The sequence below is a fragment of the Homo sapiens genome, chromosome 6 (assembly GCF_000001405.40).
Source record: "Homo sapiens chromosome 6, GRCh38.p14 Primary Assembly".
In the NCBI taxonomy this organism is placed as follows: Eukaryota; Metazoa; Chordata; class Mammalia; order Primates; family Hominidae; genus Homo; species Homo sapiens.
Window position 1 is genome coordinate 170216118 of NC_000006.12, and position 23243 is coordinate 170239360.

The 23243-nt window shown below is 55.7% G+C and overlaps 7 annotated features.

Moving 5' to 3' along the window:
• Positions 6396–7377: an enhancer, noted in NCBI's record as "H3K4me1 hESC enhancer chr6:170532303-170533284 (GRCh37/hg19 assembly coordinates)". NCBI's record gives its function as "activates a minimal SCP1, AML or CMV promoter by ChIP-STARR-seq in naive H9 embryonic stem cells {active_cell/tissue: H9 hESC(naive)}" and the evidence as "EXISTENCE:reporter gene assay evidence [ECO:0000049][PMID:30033119]".
• Positions 9340–10320: an enhancer, noted in NCBI's record as "H3K4me1 hESC enhancer chr6:170535247-170536227 (GRCh37/hg19 assembly coordinates)". NCBI's record gives its function as "activates a minimal SCP1, AML or CMV promoter by ChIP-STARR-seq in primed H9 embryonic stem cells {active_cell/tissue: H9 hESC(primed)}" and the evidence as "EXISTENCE:reporter gene assay evidence [ECO:0000049][PMID:30033119]".
• Positions 9340–10390: a biological region, named in NCBI's record as "H3K4me1 hESC enhancer GRCh37_chr6:170535247-170536227".
• Positions 10172–10390: a silencer, noted in NCBI's record as "fragment chr6:170536079-170536297 (GRCh37/hg19 assembly coordinates)". NCBI's record gives its function as "represses an EF-1alpha promoter that drives an FKBP-Casp9 reporter gene in an ReSE screen in K562 erythroleukemia cells {active_cell/tissue: K562}" and the evidence as "EXISTENCE:reporter gene assay evidence [ECO:0000049][PMID:32094911]".
• Positions 15999–16843: an enhancer, noted in NCBI's record as "H3K27ac-H3K4me1 hESC enhancer chr6:170541906-170542750 (GRCh37/hg19 assembly coordinates)". NCBI's record gives its function as "activates a minimal SCP1, AML or CMV promoter by ChIP-STARR-seq in naive H9 embryonic stem cells {active_cell/tissue: H9 hESC(naive)}" and the evidence as "EXISTENCE:reporter gene assay evidence [ECO:0000049][PMID:30033119]".
• Positions 17936–18486: an enhancer, noted in NCBI's record as "H3K4me1 hESC enhancer chr6:170543843-170544393 (GRCh37/hg19 assembly coordinates)". NCBI's record gives its function as "activates a minimal SCP1, AML or CMV promoter by ChIP-STARR-seq in naive and primed H9 embryonic stem cells {active_cell/tissue: H9 hESC(naive and primed)}" and the evidence as "EXISTENCE:reporter gene assay evidence [ECO:0000049][PMID:30033119]".
• Positions 18487–19036: an enhancer, noted in NCBI's record as "H3K4me1 hESC enhancer chr6:170544394-170544943 (GRCh37/hg19 assembly coordinates)". NCBI's record gives its function as "activates a minimal SCP1, AML or CMV promoter by ChIP-STARR-seq in naive and primed H9 embryonic stem cells {active_cell/tissue: H9 hESC(naive and primed)}" and the evidence as "EXISTENCE:reporter gene assay evidence [ECO:0000049][PMID:30033119]".

Genomic DNA, 23243 nt, shown 5'->3' on the forward strand with positions numbered 1-23243 from the left:
TACTGAGAGACCCGGAAGGCGGGGAGCACTGAAGACTCCACACCGGGAGTCAGTACCGAGAGACCCGGAAGGCGGGGAGCACTGGACTCCACAGCGGGAGTCAGTACTGAGAGACCCGGAAGGCGGGGAGCACTGGACTCCAGACGGGGAGTCAGTACTGAGAGACCCGGAAGGCGGGGAGCACCGAAGACTCCACACCGGGAGTCAGTACTGAGAGACCCGGAAGGTGGGGAGCACTGAAGACTCCACACCGGGAGTCAGTACCGAGAGACCCGGAAGGCGGGGAGCACTGGACTCCACAGCGGGAGTCAGTACTGAGAGATCCGGAAGGCGGGGAGCACTGGACTCCACACGGGAGTCAGTACTGAGAGATCCGGAAGGCGGGGAGCACTAGACTCCAGACGGGGAGTCAGTACTGAGAGACCCGGAAGGCGGGGAGCACTGGACTCCAGACGGGGAGTCAGTACTGAGAGACCCGGAAGGCTGGGAGCACTGGACTCCAGACGGGGAGTCAGTACTGAGAGACCCGGAAGGCTGGGAGCACTGGACTCCAGACGGGGAGTCAGTACTGAGAGACCCAGAAGGCGGGGAGCACCGAAGACTCCACACCGGGAGTCAGTACTGAGAGACCCGGAAGGCGGGGAGCACTGAAGACTCCACACCGGGAGTCAGTACCGAGAGACCCGGAAGGCGGGGAGCACTGGACTCCAGACGGGGAGTCAGTACTGAGAGACCCGGAAGGCGGGGAGCACTGAAGACTCCACACCAGGAGTCAGTACCGAGAGACCCGGAAGGCGGGGAGCACTGGACTCCAGACGGTGAGTCAGTACTGAGAGATCCGGAAGGCGGGAAGCACTGAAGACTCCAGACGGGGAGTCAGTACCGAGAGACCCGGAAGGCGGGGAGCATTGAAGACTCCACACCGGGAGTCAGTACTGAGAGACCCGGAAGGCGGGGAGCACTGGACTCCACACCGGGAGTCAGTACTGAGAGACCCGGAAGGCGGGGAGCACTGAAGGCTCCACACGGGAGTCAGTACCGAGAGACCCGGAAGGCGGGGAGCACTGAAGACTCCACACGGGAGTCAGTACTGAGAGATCCGGAAGGAGGGGAGCACTGAAGACTCCAGACGGGGAGTCAGTACCGAGAGACCCGGAAGGCGGGGAGCACTGAAGACTCCACACGGGAGTCAGTACCGAGAGACCCGGAAGGCGGGGAGCACTGAAGACTCCACACGGAAGTCAGTACCGAGAGACCCGGAAGGCGGGGAGCACTGAAGACTCCATACGGGGAGTCAGTACTGAGAGACCCGGAAGGCGGGGAGCACTGAAGACTCCACACCGGGAGTCAGTACTGAGAGACCCGGAAGGCGGGGAGCACTGAAGACTCCACACCGGGAGTCAGTACCGAGAGACCCGGAAGGCAGGGAGCACTGGACTCCACAGCGGGAGTCAGTACTGAGAGACCCGGAAGGCGGGGAGCACTGGACTCCAGACGGGGAGTCAGTACCGAGAGACCCGGAAGGTGGGGAGCACTGAAGACTCCATACGGGGAGTCAATACGGAGAGACCCGGAAGGCGGGGAGCACTGGACTCCAGACGGGGAGTCAGTACTGAGAGACCCGGAAGGCGGGGAGCACCGAAGACTCCACACCGGGAGTCACTACTGAGAGACCCAGAAGGCGGGGAGCACCGAAGACTCCACACCGGGAGTCAGTACTGAGAGACCCGGAAGGCGGGGAGCACTGAAGACTCCACACCGGGAGTCAGTACCGAGAGACCCGGAAGGCGGGGAGCACTGGACTCCACAGCGGGAGTCAGTACTGAGAGATCCGGAAGGCGGGGAGCACTGGACTCCACACGGGAGTCAGTACTGAGAGATCCGGAAGGCGGGGAGCACTAGACTCCAGACGGGGAGTCAGTACTGAGAGACCCGGAAGGCGGGGAGCACTGGACTCCAGACGGGGAGTCAGTACTGAGAGACCCGGAAGGCTGGGAGCACTGGACTCCAGACGGGGAGTCAGTACTGAGAGACCCGGAAGGCTGGGAGCACTGGACTCCAGACGGGGAGTCAGTACTGAGAGACCCAGAAGGCGGGGAGCACCGAAGACTCCACACCGGGAGTCAGTACTGAGAGACCCGGAAGGCGGGGAGCACTGAAGACTCCACACCGGGAGTCAGTACCGAGAGACCCGGAAGGCGGGGAGCACTGGACTCCAGACGGGGAGTCAGTACTGAGAGACCCGGAAGGCGGGGAGCACTGAAGACTCCACACCGGGAGTCAGTACCGAGAGACCCGGAAGGCGGGGAGCACTGGACTCCAGACGGTGAGTCAGTACTGAGAGATCCGGAAGGCGGGAAGCACTGAAGACTCCAGACGGGGAGTCAGTACCGAGAGACCCGGAAGGCGGGGAGCATTGAAGACTCCACACCGGGAGTCAGTACTGAGAGACCCGGAAGGCGGGGAGCACTGGACTCCACACCGGGAGTCAGTACTGAGAGACCCGGAAGGCGGGGAGCACTGAAGGCTCCACACGGGAGTCAGTACCGAGAGACCCGGAAGGCGGGGAGCACTGAAGACTCCACACGGGAGTCAGTACTGAGAGATCCGGAAGGAGGGGAGCACTGAAGACTCCAGACGGGGAGTCAGTACCGAGAGACCCGGAAGGCGGGGAGCACTGAAGACTCCACACGGGAGTCAGTACCGAGAGACCCGGAAGGCGGGGAGCACTGAAGACTCCACACGGGAGTCAGTACCGAGAGACCCGGAAGGCGGGGAGCACTGAAGACTCCATACGGGGAGTCAGTACTGAGAGACCCGGAAGGCGGGGAGCACTGAAGACTCCACACCGGGAGTCAGTACTGAGAGACCCGGAAGGCGGGGAGCACTGGACTCCACACCGGGAGTCAGTACTGAGAGACCCGGAAGGCGGGGAGCACTGAAGACTCCACACGGGAGTCAGTACTGAGAGATCCGGAAGGCGGGGAGCACTGAAGACTCCACACCGGGAGTCAGTACTGAGAGATCCGGAAGGCGGGGAGCACTGAAGACTCCACACGGGAGTCAGTACTGAGAGACCCGGAAGGCGGGGAGCACTGAAGACTCCACACGGGAGTCAGTACTGAGAGACCCGGAAGGCGGGGAGCACTGAAGACTCCACACGGGAGTCAGTACTGAGAGACCCGGAAGGCGGGGAGCACTAAAGACTCCACACGGGAGTCAGTACTGAGAGATCCGGAAGGCGGGGAGCACTAAAGACTCCACACGGGAGTCAGTACTGAGAGATCCGGAAGGCGGGGAGCACTGAAGACTCCACACCGGGAGTCAGTACTGAGAGATCCGGAAGGCGGGGAGCACTGAAGACTCCACACGGGAGTCAGTACTGAGAGATCCGGAAGGCGGGGAGCACTGAAGACTCCACACCGGGAGTCAGTACTGAGAGACCCGGAAGGCGGGGAGCACTGAAGACTCCACACGGGAGTCAGTACTGAGAGACCCGGAAGGCGGGGAGCACTGAAGACTCCACACCGGGAGTCAGTACTGAGAGACCCGGAAGGCGGGGAGCACTGAAGACTCCACACGGGAGTCAGTACTGAGAGATCCGGAAGGCGGGGAGCACTGAAGACTCCACACGGGAGTCAGTACTGAGAGATCCGGAAGGCGGGGAGCACTGAAGACTCCATACGGGGAGTCAGTACTGAGAGACCCGGAAGGCGGGGAGCACTGAAGACTCCACACCGGGAGTCAGTACTGAGAGACCCGGAAGGCGGGGAGCACTGAAGACTCCACACGGGAGTCAGTACTGAGAGATCCGGAAGGCAGGGAGCACTGAAGACTCCACACCGGGAGTCAGTACTGAGAGACCCGGAAGGCGGGGAGCACTGAAGACTCCACACCGGGAGTCAGTACTGAGAGACCCGGAAGGCGGGGAGCACTGAAGACTCCACACCGGGAGTCAGTACTGAGAGACCCGGAAGGCGGGGAGCACTGAAGACTCCACACCGGGAGTCAGTACTGAGAGACCCGGAAGGCGGGGAGCACTGAAGACTCCACACGGGAGTCAGTACTGAGAGATCCGGAAGGCAGGGAGCACTGAAGACTCCACACCGGGAGTCAGTACTGAGAGATCCGGAAGGCGGGGAGCACTGAAGACTCCACACCGGGAGTCAGTACTGAGAGACCCGGAAGGCGGGGAGCACTGAAGACTCCACACCGGGAGTCAGTACTGAGAGATCCGGAAGGCCGGGAGCACTGAAGACTCCACACCGGGAGTCAGTACTGAGAGACCCGGAAGGCGGGGAGCACTGAAGACTCCACACGGGAGTCAGTACTGAGAGATCCGGAAGGCGGGGAGCACTGAAGACTCCACACGGGAGTCAGTACTGAGAGATCCGGAAGGCGGGGAGCACTGAAGACTCCATACGGGGAGTCAGTACTGAGAGACCCGGAAGGCGGGGAGCACTGAAGACTCCACACCGGGAGTCAGTACTGAGAGACCCGGAAGGCGGGGAGCACTGAAGACTCCACACGGGAGTCAGTACTGAGAGATCCGGAAGGCGGGGAGCACTGGACTCCACACGGGAGTCAGTACTGAGAGATCCGGAAGGCGGGGAGCACTGAAGACTCCACACGGGAGTCAGTACTGAGAGACCCGGAAGGCGGGGAGCACTGAAGACTCCACACGGGGAGTCAGTACTGAGAGATCCGGAAGGCGGGGAGCACTGGACTCCAGACGGGGAGTCAGTACTGAGAGATCCGGAAGGCGGGGAGCACCGAAGACTCCATATTCACCTGTTTTTGTTTTATAATTGGAGTCATCAGCAGACAGTGTTTTTTGTTTTGTTTTGAGATGGAGTCTCGCCCTGTTGCCCAGGCTGGTGTGCAATGGTGCGATCTCGGCTCACTGCAACCTCCGCCTCCTGGGTTCAAGCGTTTCTCCTGCCTCCGCCTTCCGAGTAGGTGGGATTACAGGCGGGTGCCACCACGTCCAGCTAATTTTTTGTATCTTTAGTAGAGACGGGGTTTCGCCATGTTGGCCAGGCTGGTCTCAAACTCCTAATCTCGTGATCCGCCTGCCTCGGCTTCCCAAAGTGCTGGGATTACAGGCGTGGGCCGCCATGCCCGGCCGAGTGAAGTGGTTTTAAAGATCCAACTATAGATTTGGCTTTAGAAAAGTAATTGCCAATCTTAGATGCAGAAGCCCAAGGCTTTGATGGCCAGAAGTGGCGGTGGGGGGTGGGGTTGTCGGAGGGGCTGGAGCCGCGCAGGAAAGCGCCTTTCCAGCAAGGGGCTGCTGCCGTCTGGTCACCTTTCCAGAACTCCGACTAAGAAAGTGAGGATAGAAATGGGACCGTAGACGGAGAGGATCCCAGAGGAAAGAGAAGTTTCAGTTAGAACGTTTTATTCAAACATGAAGGGGAAGTTCCACCCCAGTGAGCACTGGGAAGTGCGTTCTCAGACGGGGATGGTTAAGAAGCCACAGTGGTGTGCCCCAGAAACCAGTAGCGTGAGCCACAGCTGCCTAATCCGTGCACAATAACCTCGCTGCCCATTCGTCCACATTTTCCTTAGGTTTTCAGAGAAGTATAATTTTGTGAGAAAGTTGTTGCATTTGGACTTTTAGCCTGGGAACAAAAAGAAAGTCCAGTGGACTGTGTTAGCACGCTCGGGAACCCGCGGCAGGCGAGTGGCTGTCTGGCACACCAGGCATCGATCTCCGCAAAACGAACTGGAAAATGCTCTTCCCCAGAAGCGCAGCACCTGAGCGTGTGACGTGCACATGTTTGTGTGGAAGGCCCGAGACGCCATCCAACCCCGTGGCTCTCAAACCGGGTCTCCAGAACCACGGCCTCAGCAGCATCTGCAGCTCCCAGCGTTCCAGATTCTCAGACTCAGCCCTTACCCACGAGTCGGAAACGCTGAGGCTGGCTCTGGAAACCCGTGTTCTCCTGGGGTCTCCACCCTGACTCTGATGCACCTGAAATCTAAGAGCTGCTGCTCGAGTTTGACAGTTCTCACTCAGTCAGAACCACCTGGGGACGCTGTTGAAATCCCACACTGGGATCCTGTTCCCAAGGACCCTGTGCATTTTGTCCTGGCTGTCAGCGAGTTTTAAAAGCTCCCCAGAGGCGTTTACTGTGCATCCAGGGATGGGGCCATCAGCAGGGTGGCTCCGTGGTGGAAGCAGACCTCGCAGTTCGAATGCACAGCTCCCATTATCTCATGTAAAGAGACAGGTTTTGTGTTTTTGAGCCTTTTGGAAGAGAAGCGACATGGAGATCTAAAAGAGTATGTGGTTTATGAAAGTTCAGTTAAAAAATGGTTAAGATGGTAAATTGTATGTTATGTGTATTTTACCACAAGAAAAAATAGAGGAAAATGTAGGATATTAAAAACAGTACTACCTGGAATTTGTATGCACACAAGTAATTTAAAGTCCAAAATGACACAAACTCCCTGGGCCGCCTCTGAACCAATGTGCTCCTGAGCCCTCTTCGGCCTCCCTGGGTCACGTCTCTGCAGATTAGAACCATGCTATGCTGAGCCCACCTTCCTGTTGCCATTTTGTGGGGAAGGAAAACGAGTTTAATCTCTTTTCCTGACCCCACCCTCCTTTTCCATAGTGAACAACAACAGAAGTCATATAATGGAACTCAGAATTGATGGGGCCCACAGCATACCGAGGCTCATTAAGCAATAAAGATCGTGACTGAGAATATTGTTCACGATTAATGACAGGCTGGGGGCCGAAAACGCACAGCTGACGGCCAGGAAGCCCAGTTGGTGAGAACCCTGCCAAGCATCCCCCACAAGGCGGTCGGTGCCATTGTCAGCAGCAGAGGACGCAGACCTGGGCAGGGTCTCCTCCCTGAGAAGCCCGCCCTCCGCGCCCGCACCTCCCCTCTGTCTGCCGCGCCCCTTCCCCGCCGAGCCCATCTGCGGCTGCAGCCACATCCTGCATTCCACCCACTTAAAGCCTGTTGTGCAATCCCTTTGGACCGGTGGACACCTAATTAAAACAAATTAACGATCTGAAGCAGAAACTGTGTTTAATGAAGCCTCGCTCAGGCTTGCGCGTAGTGCCAGGGCTGTTTGCCTACAAATATTTACCAGCCCTTGGTGCGGAAGAAGCACGGCCACCTGTCCCCAGCCTTCCTTCCACCCGCAGGCAGTGCCAAGCAGGGTTCCTCCCACCATCGCCACCACGACCCCTGGTCCCCATGCCCATGGAGCTGCAGGAGCAGCATCCACCTCCCTCTGGCCTGCTCTCCCTTGGGCCAGGGTCCTGCCAGGCCTCTGCTGGCCAACCCTTCTGATCCAGTCTGGGTCCAGCTTTGGCAACCTCAAGTTCACCCAGCAATTGGGTGGGGCTTCCTGTGGGTAGGGCCAACAGCCAGAAAGCCACCTAGGGTTAAAAGTAAAAAACTTGTGATTATTTTCCCGAAACAGAGATGAGACCCACCTTGAGGGTACTTGCTTCGAGAATTGCCTCAACTCTCATTTCAGGCCTGGTAAGATGGTGCGATTATTATAACAAAGAAGAAATAATTTGTTTTAAAGACAAATGGAAGGAGAAAGAGGAGAGGGGAGAGGAACCTCAAAGAGAAGGCGAGAACTAAGGTAGAAAGGCGGCCCAGGACAGCAGGAAGTGGACCAGCCGAGGGAGGCAGGAGGATGCCCCAGAGCCCTGACCTCCATCCGTCTCGAGTTCTTGGCCTCATCTGCCTCCTTCCCAGCATCTCACCTGACAGTGACTCTGAGGAGCACCTCCAGCCGGGGGCCCCCAGATCCGCACACTGTTCCCACCACGAGACCCTGCACACCCGGCTGCCCAGGTGAGGGCTCAGCTGCTCTCAGCCCTCCACGCGGCACAGGACTCCGCAGCCGTGAGCGTGAGTAATTCCAATGTCAGCCCCACAAGGCAAGGCCCAGAGGGAGCTCAGGGTGAGCCCCCTTCCACAGACAGAGTCCCTGAGCCACGCAGGAAGCCAACAGTCTCTGCAGGATCACAGACAAGGTGTAGAGCAGGTGCAGAGCTCTGTCACTGCTCCCAACATGCCCAGGATGGGATGGGATGAAACGGCCTCTCCACCAGGTGCCCAGGGCAGGGCCTGAGTCCACAGGACTGTCAGGGCCCCACAGAAATGTTTTCATCCCTTTTAAAATAAGAAGGAAGAAAACAAACTGGGAGGTAGAAGAAAATGTTTGATTGTATACAAATGTATTCATGTTTTTCCGATGCGGTTGTAAAATGTCATTTTTAATCTTTCTTATGGAGGGCAGGCCCTGCAGCAGCAGCTCTAGGGGCCAGGCCTGTGTGTCGCTTCCAGGACACTTCCTGGGCCGGCAACGACAGCACCAGGCAGCCAGCAGGGAGGCCAGCAGCCTTCCTTATCAGCCGCAGCCTGTGGTCTGGGCCTCTCCTCTAGAGTTGCCCCTTCCCCTTAAAAGAGCGTCTGTGCTGACAGTAATGTCTGGGCTGGCCCCTGGCCCATACTCTAAAGAAGACAGCCCCACTGCTGCCGCACACAGGCAGGCAGGTCGCTACCTGTCAGCTCAGGTCCCTGGAGACTCTGTGGCCCCACTGACCACCCCTGCCTCCTGGGCCCCGCTGGGGACAGGGCCGACACACGTCCATGCCTGCCTCTCCTTCCACACTGTCCCCGCTTCCCTCTGCCCTGCATTCCTGGTCCCTGCCTGCAGCCCCGAATTCCTGCAGTGTGCGAGGCAGCATGTGCATAACTCTGGAATTCACTTTCTCATCTGCCTGTCACAGCCTGAGCCCGTGAGCCCGCAGGGCTCAGCACAAGTCCCATCTGCTCACCGGGCAGACGCATGGCAGGCTGTGACTCAGGAGAGGGAAGTCCCTGGGCTACAGACTATTAATTGTAAACCCAGGAGGCCAGGTGACACCCTATTCTGAACATCAAATAAGGGAAAATGAATGCATCGCATACTAGGCAGGCCAGCTCCCAGGTGCTCAGGCAGGACACGGCCATCCCTGGGGTTGGTTCTCCCTGTGCCTGGCACTCTCCTCTCCAGGTGCACCAGAGCTGACTCTGCACTGCCAAGTGGGCTTGGGGAGCACTGCACCCCACAGGAATGCTACCTGCTGGGAAGGGCACAAGAAGACAGGAAGCCATCAGCCACACAAAGGGACAGCCTCCAAAATCAACACGTTCGGAATCAGCCACGCAAAGGGACAGCCTCCAAGATCAATACGTTCACAAGAAACCAGCAGCCGAAAAGAAGACTTTACCTCGAGCCATTCCGGGAAGCACGAGTCACTCCCACTTCCAGGCACACACCAGCATTTACCTGGTTTGGAGCTGCCCAGCCCAGCCCAGCACTCTTGCCAAGGTACCAGAGCCTGGAGGAGGAGAAGAGGTGCCTGGCCCCACTGTGCTGTGGGACGGGCAGGGCTGACACACATGTGCCACTGTGTTGCACAACCACAGCCTAGCGGGCTTCCTCTGCCTTCACCCAACCCGCTAAGGACATTGCTGAGGTCAAACAGGTCTTACATGCAGTTTTTTGGACTCCTGAACTGAATGGACTTCGTAAACATAGTTTACTTCTTAAATTTAGTCTTTTATCACGTTCTTCCAGATAGAGAACGGCTCCCTTAGGGACACCTAGATCATGTTTCTCCCAACCAGCCATTGTTTGCCGGAAAACCCAGCTCATGGCCACCACCTCCACAGCGCAGCATAATATCCATGTGAACCGGTTAGTGCTGTTAGCATTAGAAATGCCGGATTCTTAATGCTTAGAGCTGAAAGCGACCGTCCTCAGGGCCAGCGCTGTCACCTCACACGGGAAAAGCACGACGCATCACGTGCTCTGAGGTCAGCCCTGCTGTCTGTGCAGCTCCACCTCCAGTCTCACCATCCCCACAGCCCTGCCCCAGTAAGTTCACTGGACGCTGGATGCTAGATGCTGGCCTCGTCCGCTTGTAGCCTTCACCCCTGCCTTCCGAGTATTGTCAAGTGAGAGGCCCGCTCACATCAGTGAATGCCCGGTACTGCAGGAGGAATCGTGATCTGAACAATCAGATTTGAATATCTTTCATAAGCCTTCTTTCTAAATCTCCAGCGAGCTCACACTTGCCTGATGGAATCTAACCGTCATGCCCTCCCCGTCTTGGCACCCCAACAACTTTTGCAATATTATCATGACCTGGCAAGAATGTGCTGTTTGCAGATGCAGGCGACCGCGTGTTCTTTGTTGACATGCCAAGCAAAGGAGGCTGGAAGAGGAGCCCTTCCAAGATGCCACCTGCAGTTCTCACTGCTCTCGTCACTACATTAAACATATTTGGCCGCTGTTAGTCAGTTCGGATAAAAATACAAGTAGATTTCAGCCGTGTTTGGTAATTCCTAAGAGAAGGTTCACTGAGTCCCACGAGGGGCACCAAGACACTTTATCCCCCAAGACGCCCACCAGGAAGACAGGTGCTCCATGTTCCGCTGGTTTCCACCTCACACTGTGAACGGTGGTTTGTGTTTTTCAACAACACCCAAGGCTTTTTTTCTTTTGCCTTATAAGGAGTACTTTCCCCACGTGGTCAGCAGTGTAGGGACTGGTGTCCTCGACTGCGGAATCTGCAGGGCCTGTGCCCACTGCTCTCTCCTGCCTGTGTGTGGGCCTGACCTGGGGCCCCCTGCTCTGGATATGCCCAGGACTTCCCCTTGGTGTAGCCCCGGAAGTCCTGTGTCCTGGAGCGAGGCCTCTGTGCCAGGCAGACCAGGGTGGTTGGTGGGGTCCTGTGCCGACCTCCTAAAATCACGCCCCCTTCCATTTGTCTTATAGCAAACAGATTTTGACAACACAAAGCTTTCTTTAGAAATTTAAGGTTGGGCACGGTGGCTCATGCCTGTATTCCCAGCACTTTGAGAGGCCAAGGTGGGCAGATCACCTGAGGTCGGGAGTTTGAGATCAGCCTGGCCCACATGGCAAAACCCCGTCTGTACTAAAAATACAAAATTAGCCAGGTGTGGTGGTGCGCACCTGTAGTTCCAGCTACTTGGGAGGCTGAGGCAGGAGAATCGCCTGTACCCGGGAGACCAAGTGAGCTGAGATCGAGCCACTGTAGTCCAGCCTGGGCAACAGAGCAAGACTCCACCTCAAAAAAAAAAAAAAATTAAAGTGCAATTTTTAGTGAAGGCTAAAGAAAAATGGTGGGAAGAGCTGAGGGATGTGATCTCAATCCTGATGAAGGCCTGAGAAGAGCCATCAAAGGAGTCAGAACCAGAATGGGATTCTAAGGAGCTCTGGGGCCCCTCCCTCGTCCTCAGAATGCATGGCTTTTATTTACACGTGACGTAGTCTGCATTTGCCGGGGGACTGCTGGGACACTCCAGCAGGTTTTCCATCTCGAGTTCCTGTAACCAGCAGCGAAGGCATCAGAACGGCCACACATTACCAAGCTGGGGTGCATCCTGCCTGGTGGCTTCGCCCTGATCCTTGCTGCGTGGCCTCAGCTCTTCTCCCTCAGGAGCTGCAGGGGCTTTGGTCCCTGCCCCCTGTGAGACTGAGGCACCAACAGCTGCCTGGTTCTCAGCACTTACTGGGATTGAGTTGAACATCACATCAAAACTTGCAGAGAGCAGTGGTCAGCGGCCCCCAGGCTGGGCTAGTGCCGGTGACTCAGCCCTGAGCACGCAGGAGGCAGCCTGCCTGTGCCCGGCCCAGGGCCCTGGGTTTCCCCTTTGCTTTGTTCCCCAGGGGGTGCTGGCTGGCACGCTGTCTTGGAGGGGCAAGGAGACGCCAGCCCAGGCAGTTTCCAGGGCAGGCCACAGCAATGCCTGGCGTGCGTGGCGGTGAGTGTGGCCATCTGGTCATTAGGGCCGAGCTGCTGCCAGCGCCAGCGGCTCTTTCTCCGTCTCATTCCAGGGGCTTTGGAGCCCACGACAGAGATCCTGGGGAGAGCCTGGCTAAAGTTCATTCTCATGTCTTCTCCATCTTGGACAGAGAGAACGACTTGCACTGTGGGAAGATGTACACCTGTGCATGTGTGTTCTTGCGTGTGTGTGAAGACTAAGACACCAGGTGTCAAGGACAGCAGGAGAGTGAGGAGCCAAGGGCGACATGGACCTCAGAGTCCCAGGGAGCAGGAGTTGCAGGAGGAGGAGCAGAGGCCAGCTAAGGGCGGAAGACCAGGACCTCGTGCGAAGCAGAGGGTAGGGAGGCCCAGGGCAGTGGCCACAAAAACCAAACAAGGGACAAATTCTGCCCTGTGTTGCCGAGGAGAGAGGCTTCGAGCTTTGTTCCCCACGGGAGCTGTCATTGGAGCAAGGGGACAGATGCAGGGGGCTCCCGCACTGGCTGTGCACCAGGCTCTCACCCTCTCCTCACCCACGCGCCAGGCTCTCACCCCCTCGTCACCAACCACACTTCTTGGCACGTTTTCTTGTTAATTTCTAGCACGCTGACTTCCATGATAAAAGCTGCCACACACTTCAGAGCTAGTAAGAATGAAGCTGTTGAGGGAAAATTTGCTTCTCGTAAGTGGGTAAACCCCAAGAGCTCAAGCTGATCAGGTCCCGGTGGATAACACACCTCCTGCAGCTGAGCCTCCCACCTCACTCTCAGCCACTCACAGAGGAAGCCACTGATGCGGACGCTGAAGGTGTCCCCCAGACCCTCAGCTCCCTCCAATGAGCCCCCAGAGCAGGAGGCCTGGTCATCCACCCCCGTGCACAGCAAGTCAGTGCTAATGTGCCCTCAGCCCTCAACTGTCCTGAAAAACATGTAACAAAACATTCAGAAAATGCATGCACCCAGGAGCGTTGCAGAGTCCATGACAAACATTCACCGCCACACTTTTTCAGGGAAGGAATAGGGGTTGGTAACACTCTCTGGTCCAGGGGCTCGGGGAGGTGAGGCGGCTTCTCCACACAGCGAGGGGTCCGCTCCAGCCAGCATGGTCTGCAGACCTCGCACAAAGTGCCTGGAAGTGCTCAGGGCCATCCGAGGGTGAATGTTCTGCTCCCTCAGCTATCCTTGCCCTTGGCACACCCGGGCTGCAGACGGCCGGCAGGGAAACCATGGAGGAGGCCACGCGGCAGTGCCGGTATCTGATCACTCACCCAGAAAGGAGGCAAGTGAGTGGATTGTCAGGTGAGTCGCAATCCTTTGGAAATCGTTCATCTTACCTAACATTTATTCTAACTCCCTCTGAACCAGGCCTCCCCTGCCCTGCTGGATAACAGAGAAGTGACAGGCAGGACGTGGAATCCCACGCAGCTGTCCAGCCCTCCCCAGCACTCATGGCTTTGGGCTCCCAGACCTTGGCCCAAACCTGGAAATTTTACCATAGCCAGGGAAGAGGCTGAAAATACCACAAGAATGGAACCTTATAGCTCTTGGAGATTTCTGCTTCTAGCCGAGTGGGAACCAGGAAAGGCAGTGAAGCCAGCAGCCGTGTCCCGTGGCCTCCTGAGTGTGGGATCTGTCACTGAGACATCGGGGCACCAGGGCTCGGCGTATTGTCACCGCCACCCCACACTCGCCGCACTCGATGCTTCTCAGCCTGAATTGCAACGCCACATAGGTCTTCTGCTTCGGAGAAATAAACACGCTGAGAGAATGTGAAGGAGTTTTCCCTAGGGACACGGAAGAGGGTTCCGGTTATCTTGCTCACTTCCCAGCAAATTCTGTTCAGGAGCCAAATGCCCTGATAGGACAGAGACCTTAAAAATATGGGCCTAGTTGCTGCTGCTGTGTTTGTTCTGGAAGCTTCCAGACCCTGAGGGCCGGCAGCTCTGGTCTCAGGAACCTGGCTGTGCTCCGCCTGCCCTGGTGTGGGTCACTGCAGCCAGGAGGAGGATGTGTAAAACCCTCCCTGGGGCCACATAGTGGAAAGAGAGGTGTCCCGCCCAGCAGGGCAGTTTTGCCCCATCAGCCCAGGGACTCAGGGACACCCAGGAGCAAAAGGAGCCACGGCCACTCACAGTGCCACGAGGAGTGAGTTACAAGGCCGGGGAGAGTCACACAGCCACGGAGCATCAGTCACACAGCTGCAGAGCATCAGTCACACAGCCATAGGGAGTCACACCGCCACGGAGAGCCACACGGCCGTGGAGAGTCAGTCACACAGCCATAGGGAGTCAGTCACACGGCCTCGGGGACTCAATCAGACGGCTGTGGAAAGTCAGTCACACCACAACGAGTAAGTCTTGCAGCCGCAGGGAATCAAATGACAGCAGGGCAAGTGACACCTGATTGGAAGCCAGCATTCCAGGGCACTGGAGGTGGTAGCTCAAGCTCTACAGCTGGTGGTCCCTGATGGCCGCAAGAACAACCCCTCGAGGCTCCGCTGCACCCCCCAGCTTTGTGCCAGCCAGCGTGCGAGTGTGGGCGCCGAGTGTGCTTTGGCCCGATCCTGGAAAACGAGGCAGCTCCGATGCCGAGATTCATATCTTGATGCCAGACAGGGCCCTGCACGTGCCAAGTGGGCTGAGTGGGTCTTGAGGGGCTGGAGGGACCCAGGCGGGTGGCTTTGCACCCAGACGAAACACATGGGTGAAAAGGCAACTGACTAAATCCCGGCTTCTTCAGAGCTATTTGTAGATGGCACACTTGGCACCCTCAGTGGGAGTGTGTGCCAGCCTACGAGGAGCCCAGGACCTGCGTGGGGGCCTTGCAGCCCTGTCAGCCTGCAAATCTGGCTGAGAAATCACGTCATTTTGTGTGTCTAGAATAAACTGTATTCAGGTTGGAGTGAAGTGCATTGCATTTTCGTGATGAAGGCCATGAACTCTGAGTTACACGACAAGTATTTTGAGGGAGACACATGGTTGCCCAGTTGTCCAAGCACACTGCCCGGCTAGGGAAGGAGGGTGGAGTCTGGAATACTGGAGTGTTTGCAGGACTCTGGGGGAGCAGCTGGTGTTGCATGTGGGTCCCATGAGATTATAGACGTGTCTCTTCTTTATCAAAGTGGCAGTTCCTCCAGCCACGCCAGGTTCTATTTCCCTGGGATCACTTAGTCCCGTTGGAACCCAGAATGAGCCTGCAGACCTTCATCCCACTCACTCACCCAGAGACACCACCCACAGAAGCGGGCACGGGGGAGGCCTGGCCTGGCCGTGGCTCCCAGGATCCAATGTGAAATGCCCCCTGCGTGTTTGAAGACAGAGCTTGCTTCTAAGGGGAAGCCATAGAGAGAGCAGAAGGACACAAATGCTGCTGCCAAGTCCCTCCCACAGCTCGATGCAGAGGACACAGGTGATGGGAGGCTGGGCCGCTGGGGGCCTCTCACCACTCATCTTTATTCATTGCATCTTAGTTCTCTCCTCGTTATTGAGGCCTAACGTCCAGCCGCTAAACTGCTGTTTTGTGTCTCCTACACTGTGTTCAGGACACAAGCACAGAAGTCCATTCCCACTTGGCCAACAGGCTGCTGGTTGGCACCTCTGGTGAGTGACAGACCCTTGGGAATTAAAAAATAACAACAATCAGCACCGCTCGATCCCCTGTGGTGGCTGCTTCTCCTGGGCTTCTCTCCTCCTGGGTACGATGTGTGAGCCCTGCAAAGCCAGTGCTCCCAGAGCCCTACACGAAGCCGGGCTTTGCCGTCGCTCCTCTCTCCACGTGCCCCTTTTTCCTCCCCACCCCAGATAGTGCGGGGCCCCAGGTCGCCTTTCCAGGTAAGGGTGATGGACCAGAAGAGCCACAGCTGTTCCTCCCTCGTGTGGCCTCCCAGGCCAGCTCTGTAACTTGCAGGATTTGACTCTGTGAGATGCAGTTCTGTGCGTCTGAAGAAAGGGTTTGCTCCTGAACAGTGACAGCAAGAGTCACTTTCTGGTGATTTCTCTCTCCTTTGAATCACATTCCTCTGGCTCTTAAGCTCCAAACGCTGACATGCCTGAACATGCCGTGGGGTCGGGAGTGCTGAGATTTGGCCCAGGGAAGGCTGCTGACACCACTGGCGTTAGCTCAGCCCTGACCAAATGGCCAGACAAAGCTCAGCAATTTGCTGGACTGCCCTGGAAAACAGCATCCCTGTCTACAGACTTAGGGAGTTCCTGGAAAACAGCATCCTTGTCTACGGACTTAGGGAGTTGGACCTGGTCACTTTTTAGGCTGTTCCTAACGCTGAAACTACGTTCCCACTTGACCAAGTCCACAGCAGCCCCATGGAGGACTGCCTGGTTGTCCCATCTGAACAGAAGGGTGAGCCAAGCCCGGGGAGAGCCTGCGCCACTGACAGCGCCACGGCCAGAGCAAGTCTGGGGTCGGTGTCAGGGCGCGTGAGAGGCTGTGTGCTGCCTGCCTGCCAGAAATAATTCAGAAGGGGTAACAAGCTAATTAATTAATGGGAGAGCTCTGCGACCCTTGTGTGAAAGCCACACCAAGAGGTGTTATTAAGTCCCTGTCACAGAAAAAAATCTGAGAAACGAAGGCCTGGTCAGTTGCCGCCTCCTCCACCCAGAGAGCTGCACTGTGGCCCGAGGGTCCGAGGACAAGGTCTCAGCTCCCACGGTGTCCCGAGAGACCCCCACCCTGGGTGGGGGGGATGAGGGCAGGGGCTGGTGGGACCAGCGGCTCCCCACGCTGGAAGGCCCCATGCAGGCCCCGCTGTTTTCACTAATGTTTAGGCATAATGTCTGTCCTATAAAATAACCGTGTTATCATCCAAACAGCTGACTCACATCTTCAGAGTTTTGACCCAAACTTATACATCTGACATTTCAGATCTGTGAGTCAGCTCTTGCATCCAGCCACCTTTTGGAGTTTCTTCAATGGAAATATGAGGACTTAGAGTCACCTCTGGCCCTTTCCATCCTGGGGTCCGAGCCTTCTCCTCTCTGCTTCCTGCGCTGGGAAGGCTCTTCTCACCTGGTGAGCACCTCGACCAGGAGCAGCCACGCAGCTTCTGCAGCTGCACATCAGCCAGGAGAGGCTTGCATTTTATTTATTTTTATCTTTTTTTTTACGTTTTTAAGACAGAGTCTCGCTCTGTCACCCAGGCTGGAGTGCAACCTCCGCCTCCCAGGCTCAAGCGATTGTCTTACCTCAGCCTCCCGAGTAGCTGGGATTACAGGCACCCCCACCACGTCCAGCTAATTTTTTTGCATTTTTAGTAGAGACAGGGCTTCACCATGTTGTCCAGGCTGGTCCTGAACTCCTGAGCTCAAGTGATCCGCCCGCCTCGGCCTCCCAAAGTGCTGGGATTTCAAGTGTGAGCCACTGCACCAGGCCTGCATTTTAGATACAACATGAAAATCAATCCCTGGTTTCTTTCAAAACACCATCTGTGGGTTCAGGGCTGTTTTCCAATTCCATGATGACATCATTTCATGTGAGGGAACAGTCAGAGCTTCCGACAGCCAATTGGAAGGGTGGGCAGGTGTCCGCACTGTCCACAGAGAACCAGTCGGAAGAGTGGACAGGTGTCTGCAATCTCCACAGAGAGCCAACTGAAAGAGTGAGCAGGTGTTCACAAAGTCCACAGAAAGCCAATCGGAAGGGTGGGCAGGTGTCCACAGTGTCCACAGAGAGCCAATCAGAAGGGTGAGCAGGCATCCACAACATCCACAGAAGGCCAATTGGAAGGGTGGGCAGGTGACCGCAGCATCCAGAGAGCCAATCAGAAGGATAGGTAGTATCTACAATGTTCACAGAGAGCCAATCGGAAGGGTGAGCAGGTGTCTGCGGTGTCCACAGAGTGAGGCTCTCCTCAGAGTGAGGAGAGAAGACAGTGCGGGTCACCAGCCCAGGCCAGAGAGAGACAGTCTGGACTTGAGTCCAAACCCTGCCAAGTGCCGCTGTGGACTCGGCCTCGCGTGTTCTCTCTCTAAGCCCGAGCTCCTCTGCAGCAGGACCTGTCTCACAGGCTGATGTGAAGATTCAGCTCATAGGGTGTTCAGTGCACTGCCTGGCAAATGCAAGGTGCCAATGTTACCTGTGGTTGATGCCACACCAGGGAAGGACTCCCAAGCCCTCCCCACACAGAACACACAGCAGACACTGTGACTGGAAGACACAAAGGCCTTTATTTTATTAATGACTCTTGATTTTCTGTGGATTTCCTTTTGTCAAAAAGAGCATCCTTTGCCCTCCTTTTTAATGTATCATGCTGAAATCGCAGTTTTACGAAAGCAAATATTGCAGTAACGTGCACTATAGAAACAGAAAGTGAAATAAGAAAGAATTGCAGATTTGTTTACCCTGCATATTAAGTGGACTCCAAAATTACTTTAGAAATAAGCCCCTTTCAGGGAACAAAAAAAGTCTAGCACACTTACTTCAAGTGCAGAGAATAATCGCGTATCAAAGGACCACTAGGACTTACCAAGCTTCCCAGGGCAGAAGGCTCACCCTGTGTTAGGGTTCCGTAATCAAGTTGACCGAGTCAAGGATGGAAGGAATGCCTCCACTTTAACATCAGATGCTGCTTTTCTCCCATCCTCTGGGTCTCTGAAATCAGCGCAGCAGCGTCTGTGCATTCCCAGCAGCCTCCTTGCCGGCCGTCTCTGGCCGCCAGGACTGCGCAGGGCTGCCTGGGAGGCTGTGGCCGCCCTGCCCACTGCCTCAACTCCCTGGCTTTGTGGCAGGATCATCTGTCTCCCTGTTGAGTTGCTCTTTGTTCTGCTGGTTCTGACTGTGGTTTTAAACATACATGACTGACCAAAGATCCTCAGCACAGAATGGAGTTGTTAGACATTCCTGTAAAGTAATGCCATGAATTTTTCAGCAAAATTAGTTGAATTCGCCACTAAATTTTGCTTGTCAGACTGGACACTGTTCTTATTAAATCTTTGCTAGAAGATTTAATTAGACTCTAGTAGAAGATTTTGAAATCTGTAAAAGATTTAATACAATAGGATTTTATTTGAAGTAAATGATGACTCCATTAAAGGATCAATTAATAAAACATTCAAAAAAATTGTGACAATAAAAAATGTATATTTGGAAATAAGCATAAGATTCCACCAACAGTAAAAGAAGCTTTTTATAGATTTTTGTTGTGGTGGTTTTCCTTATATCTCTTTTCTGTGCTTTCTTTAAAAACGCCGCCAATTAGATGGATTTAACATTCAACCGAGGCAGGTTTTTATTCAAAGGAGACGATTTTAGTCTGAAGAGCAGCGGATTTAAAGCAGAGACTTCCCTGCTGTGCACTGATCAGCTATTGATTAGGGGGAGGGGGGGTGGTTAAACAAAATCATCAATGCCAAATAATAGGCCCTCAGCCTGCGGGGACTGACCTGGGCACATTTGTGATAGGAAAAGTAAAGCCAGCCTTTGTGGAGAACCAAAGGCCCTGGTCTCTCTCGAGCAAAAGAAATGTTAATTGAAAAATTCCTTAAATAGGTGGAGGCTCTGAAGTCTGCTTTACATAAAAGGTATGAAATCACAATCAGGGGAAAGAAAGGCCGTGGTGTCGAGTGGGAGTTTTCTCCCTAATGGCGCTGATTAATTTCCCATTCATAGATGACAGGGGCTGACGGAACAAGTCCCTGACAGCTGGACCTGCCTGCACAGGGAAGTCTGATTTAATTGGCTCCTTGATGGGGAAAAGTAAAACAAAGAAACTTCCTATTGCATGCAGAGAAATAAAACCTGACGATTTACATAGATAATCAATGGTTGACTGTTTTCCATTTGTCAGTTTACAACCGCAGAAAAATGGTCACTTTGCCACCGTTAGTTTCTCACGATGATCCTTAAATCACATCTGGGAAGCGACTCTTCCCCCCAGAGCATCTCCACGTGACCACGCTCCCCAGATGGAGGCCCAGGTCGGAGGTCAGCCACTCACTTTCCAGATAAACTGAACTCAGAGCCGCACCAGGAACCTGGCGCCTGCAGGGCCAGCTCAGGAAGGCTGGGGGGCTGTGGCTGTGAATGGAGAGCCAGGGGAGGGCCGCTGGGGGGTTCCTCCTCCAGAAACTGAATTCCACATTCCCCTCTGAAGCCTGCCCCCCTCCCTGTCTCCTGCCACCACCCTCCAGCATCCAGGACCCTGGGCAGACACAGCAGATCAGGCCCCTTCCTCCTCTAACCCCCCTGCACCACTCCCCCACAGCCAAGGGAGCAGGTGACGTGTCATTAGCCGGAGTCGACGGAAAGAAAACCCTTCAGTTCCTTTTTACTTCACCCAAAAATCAACCAAGACAGAAGAGGTTGGAGCAGCCGCCCAGGGCGCCCAGCATAAGCACTGGCCACCAGGACAGCTGGGGAGACACAGTCAGGCCCAGCACGGTGTCGAGAAGCTCCATCGCTCAAATACCACATCCCCCAAAGACCCCGGCGTCCCAAAGATTCTCGAGGCCACAGGAAAGCCTGCACCCCACACTCTTCCTGGGTGCAGAGCTGCTGATCCAAATATGTGCACACACTCCTTTCCCATCTACTCAACACGGTACATGGAAAACACACAACAAATCCAAAAGTAAGAGGAACGAAGATTTGGAAAGTGGCTTTCAGATATCAACTGAGCAGGAACAGCAGAGCTGGCCAGCATCTGAAACTAGCTTGTATGCCTTAGAAATTCACCCCTCCCTGCAGAGTAAACACTGTCTCAACACAGAACCTGTGCTTTGGAAGCAAGATGTGGTGAACATGGGGGAGTTTCCGTTTAAACGACTGAGTCTCCCTCACTGCAAAGGACAATGTCGCTGGATCCCACGTGTTAAACGACTGCGTCTCCCTCACTGCAAAGGACAGTGTCGCTGGATCCCACGTGTTAAACGACTGCGTCTCCCTCACTGCAAAGGACAGTGTCGCTTGATCCCACGTGTTAAACGACTGCGTCTCCCTCACTGCGAAGGACAGTGTCGCTTGATCCCACGTGTTAAACGACTGCGTCTCCCTCACTGCGAAGGACAATGTCGCTTGATCCCACGTGTTAAACGACTGCGTCTCCCTCACTGCGAAGGACAGTGTCGCTTGATCCCACGTGTTAAACGACTGCGTCTCCCTCACTGCGAAGGACAGTGTCGCTTGATCCCACGTGTTAAACGACTGCGTCTCCCTCACTGCAAAGGACAGTGTCGCCGGATCCCACGTGTTAAACAACTGCGTCTCCCTCACTGCAAAGGACAGTGTCGCCGGATCCCACGTGTTAAACGACTGCGTCTCCCTCACTGCAAAGGACAATGTCGCTTGATCCCACGTGTTAAACGACTGCGTCTCCCTCACTGCAAAGGACAGTGTCGCTTGATCCCACGTGTTAAACGACTGCGTCTCCCTCACTGCAAAGGACAGTGTCGCTTGATCCCACGTGTTAAACGACTGCGTCTCCCTCACTGCAAAGGACAGTGTCGCCGGATCCCACGTGTTAAACGACTGCGTCTCCCTCACTGCAAAGGACAGTGTCGCTGGATCCCACGTGTTAAACGACTGCGTCTCCCTCACTGCAAAGGACAGTGTCGCTTGATCCCACGTGTTAAACGACTGCGTCTCCCTCACTGCGAAGGACAGTGTCGCTTGATCCCACGTGTTAAACAACTGCGTCTCCCTCACTGCAAAGGACAGTGTCGCCGGATCCCACGTGTTAAACAACTGTGTCTCCCTCACTGCAAAGGACAGTGTCGCTGGATCCCACGTGTTAAACGACTGCGTCTCCCTCACTGCAAAGGACAATGTCGCTTGATCCCACGTGTTAAACGACTGCGTCTCCCTCACTGCAAAGGACAGTGTCGCTTGATCCCACGTGTTAAACGACTGCGTCTCCCTCACTGCAAAGGACAGTGTCGCTTGATCCCACGTGTTAAACGACTGCGTCTCCCTCACTGCAAAGGACAGTGTCGCCGGATCCCACGTGTTAAACGACTGCGTCTCCCTCACTGCAAAGGACAGTGTCGCTGGATCCCACGTGTTAAACGACTGTGTCTCCCTCACTGCAAAGGACAGTGTCGCTTGATCCCACGTGTTAAACGACTGCGTCTCCCTCACTGCAAAGGACAGTGTCGCTGGATCCCACCTGTGCTCTTAAACGACTGCATCTCCCTCACTGCGAAGGACGGTGTCACTGGATCCCACATGTGCTCTGTGCCTCTCACTGGATCCCACATGTGCTCTGTGCCATCCTCCCAGCCTCCAGGCTTCCAGAAGGGCAGGAGCCCGGTGCTGGGCTGGGCAAAGGAGCACCTGGTCCAATGAGGCTCACAGAAGAAGTAACTCCTGGCGGAGCCTGTCCAGGGAGAAATGCAGCCCAGCAACTCCACAGCTTCCTCAGAAAGGGCCTGTGCAGGGTGATGGAAAGGGCCCAGGAGGGCAGGCTGGAGCCCCAGAGCCGATTTGCACATGGAGGGGCTCGTACAGGGCTGGAGCTCAGGGCAGGAGTCAGGAACTCGCTTGTGTGTTCTTAAAAACAAAACAGCCCCCAGGCTCCAGAAGGGTCCTGACACCCACATCCCAGGGTCTCAAGTCCTCAGTCAGGAGCAGCTGCAAAAAGGGACTGCAACTGCCGTGCTCCATGGAGATGCAGTCAGCCCGGGGTCCCTCCTCAAGGGAGCACTATGCTGCCCGGAGGCAGGTTGGGGGACTGTGGCTTTTCGGCCATCGCAAACAGGAGAGACCCATGGACAGCACACCAGGCCCCGGCTGCCAGGTGCCTTGGGGTCTCTGTACATGCTGGCCCCTCTCCCGAGGAAGGTCTTGCTCCTCGGCCCCGCCTGGTCAGCCACAGTGGGTTCTCCGGGTGTCTGCTCAAATGCTCCTTTCTCAAGGGAAGTGCTCTATGGCCACAGCCCTTGTCAGACTGGGTTCAGGGCCCAAGTACAGCTTCTAGTGACCACGAGCCTGACCCTCTTGGCACTTGGAAAAGCCAAATCCTTGCGGGGGATTGTGCATGTCTCTGCCCCAGCCTCTCCCTGGGGTGAGGCCGTGCTATCTGAGTCCCGGGGCTGACCCAGTGCCTGGCTCACAGGACCCTCTCCACCAACAGCAATGGAGCGAAAAGCCCGATGTCTGGGGGACTCCAGCAGAGCCCCTCGTGACTCTTCCCCCTGCTTCACGGTGATGCCTGCACCAGCCCACAGTGGAAGAGAGAAGCTCCTTGTCAACTTCTGTGTGGCACACCGTTCCAAGGGATGTCGGGGGCCAGACTCCCCCAGGAACAAGAAAGGCAGGTGCAGCGCCACTAATACGGCGTGATCAGTTCAGAGCATCGCTTTCTTCTAAGCTAAAATATCAATGGTTTGGGAGGCTTGAAACGTGTTTTCTAGAGAGCCTGTGAGTATGGCTGTGTGGTTTTATCAGCCTCGACGCCCAGAGTGGCCTTGAAA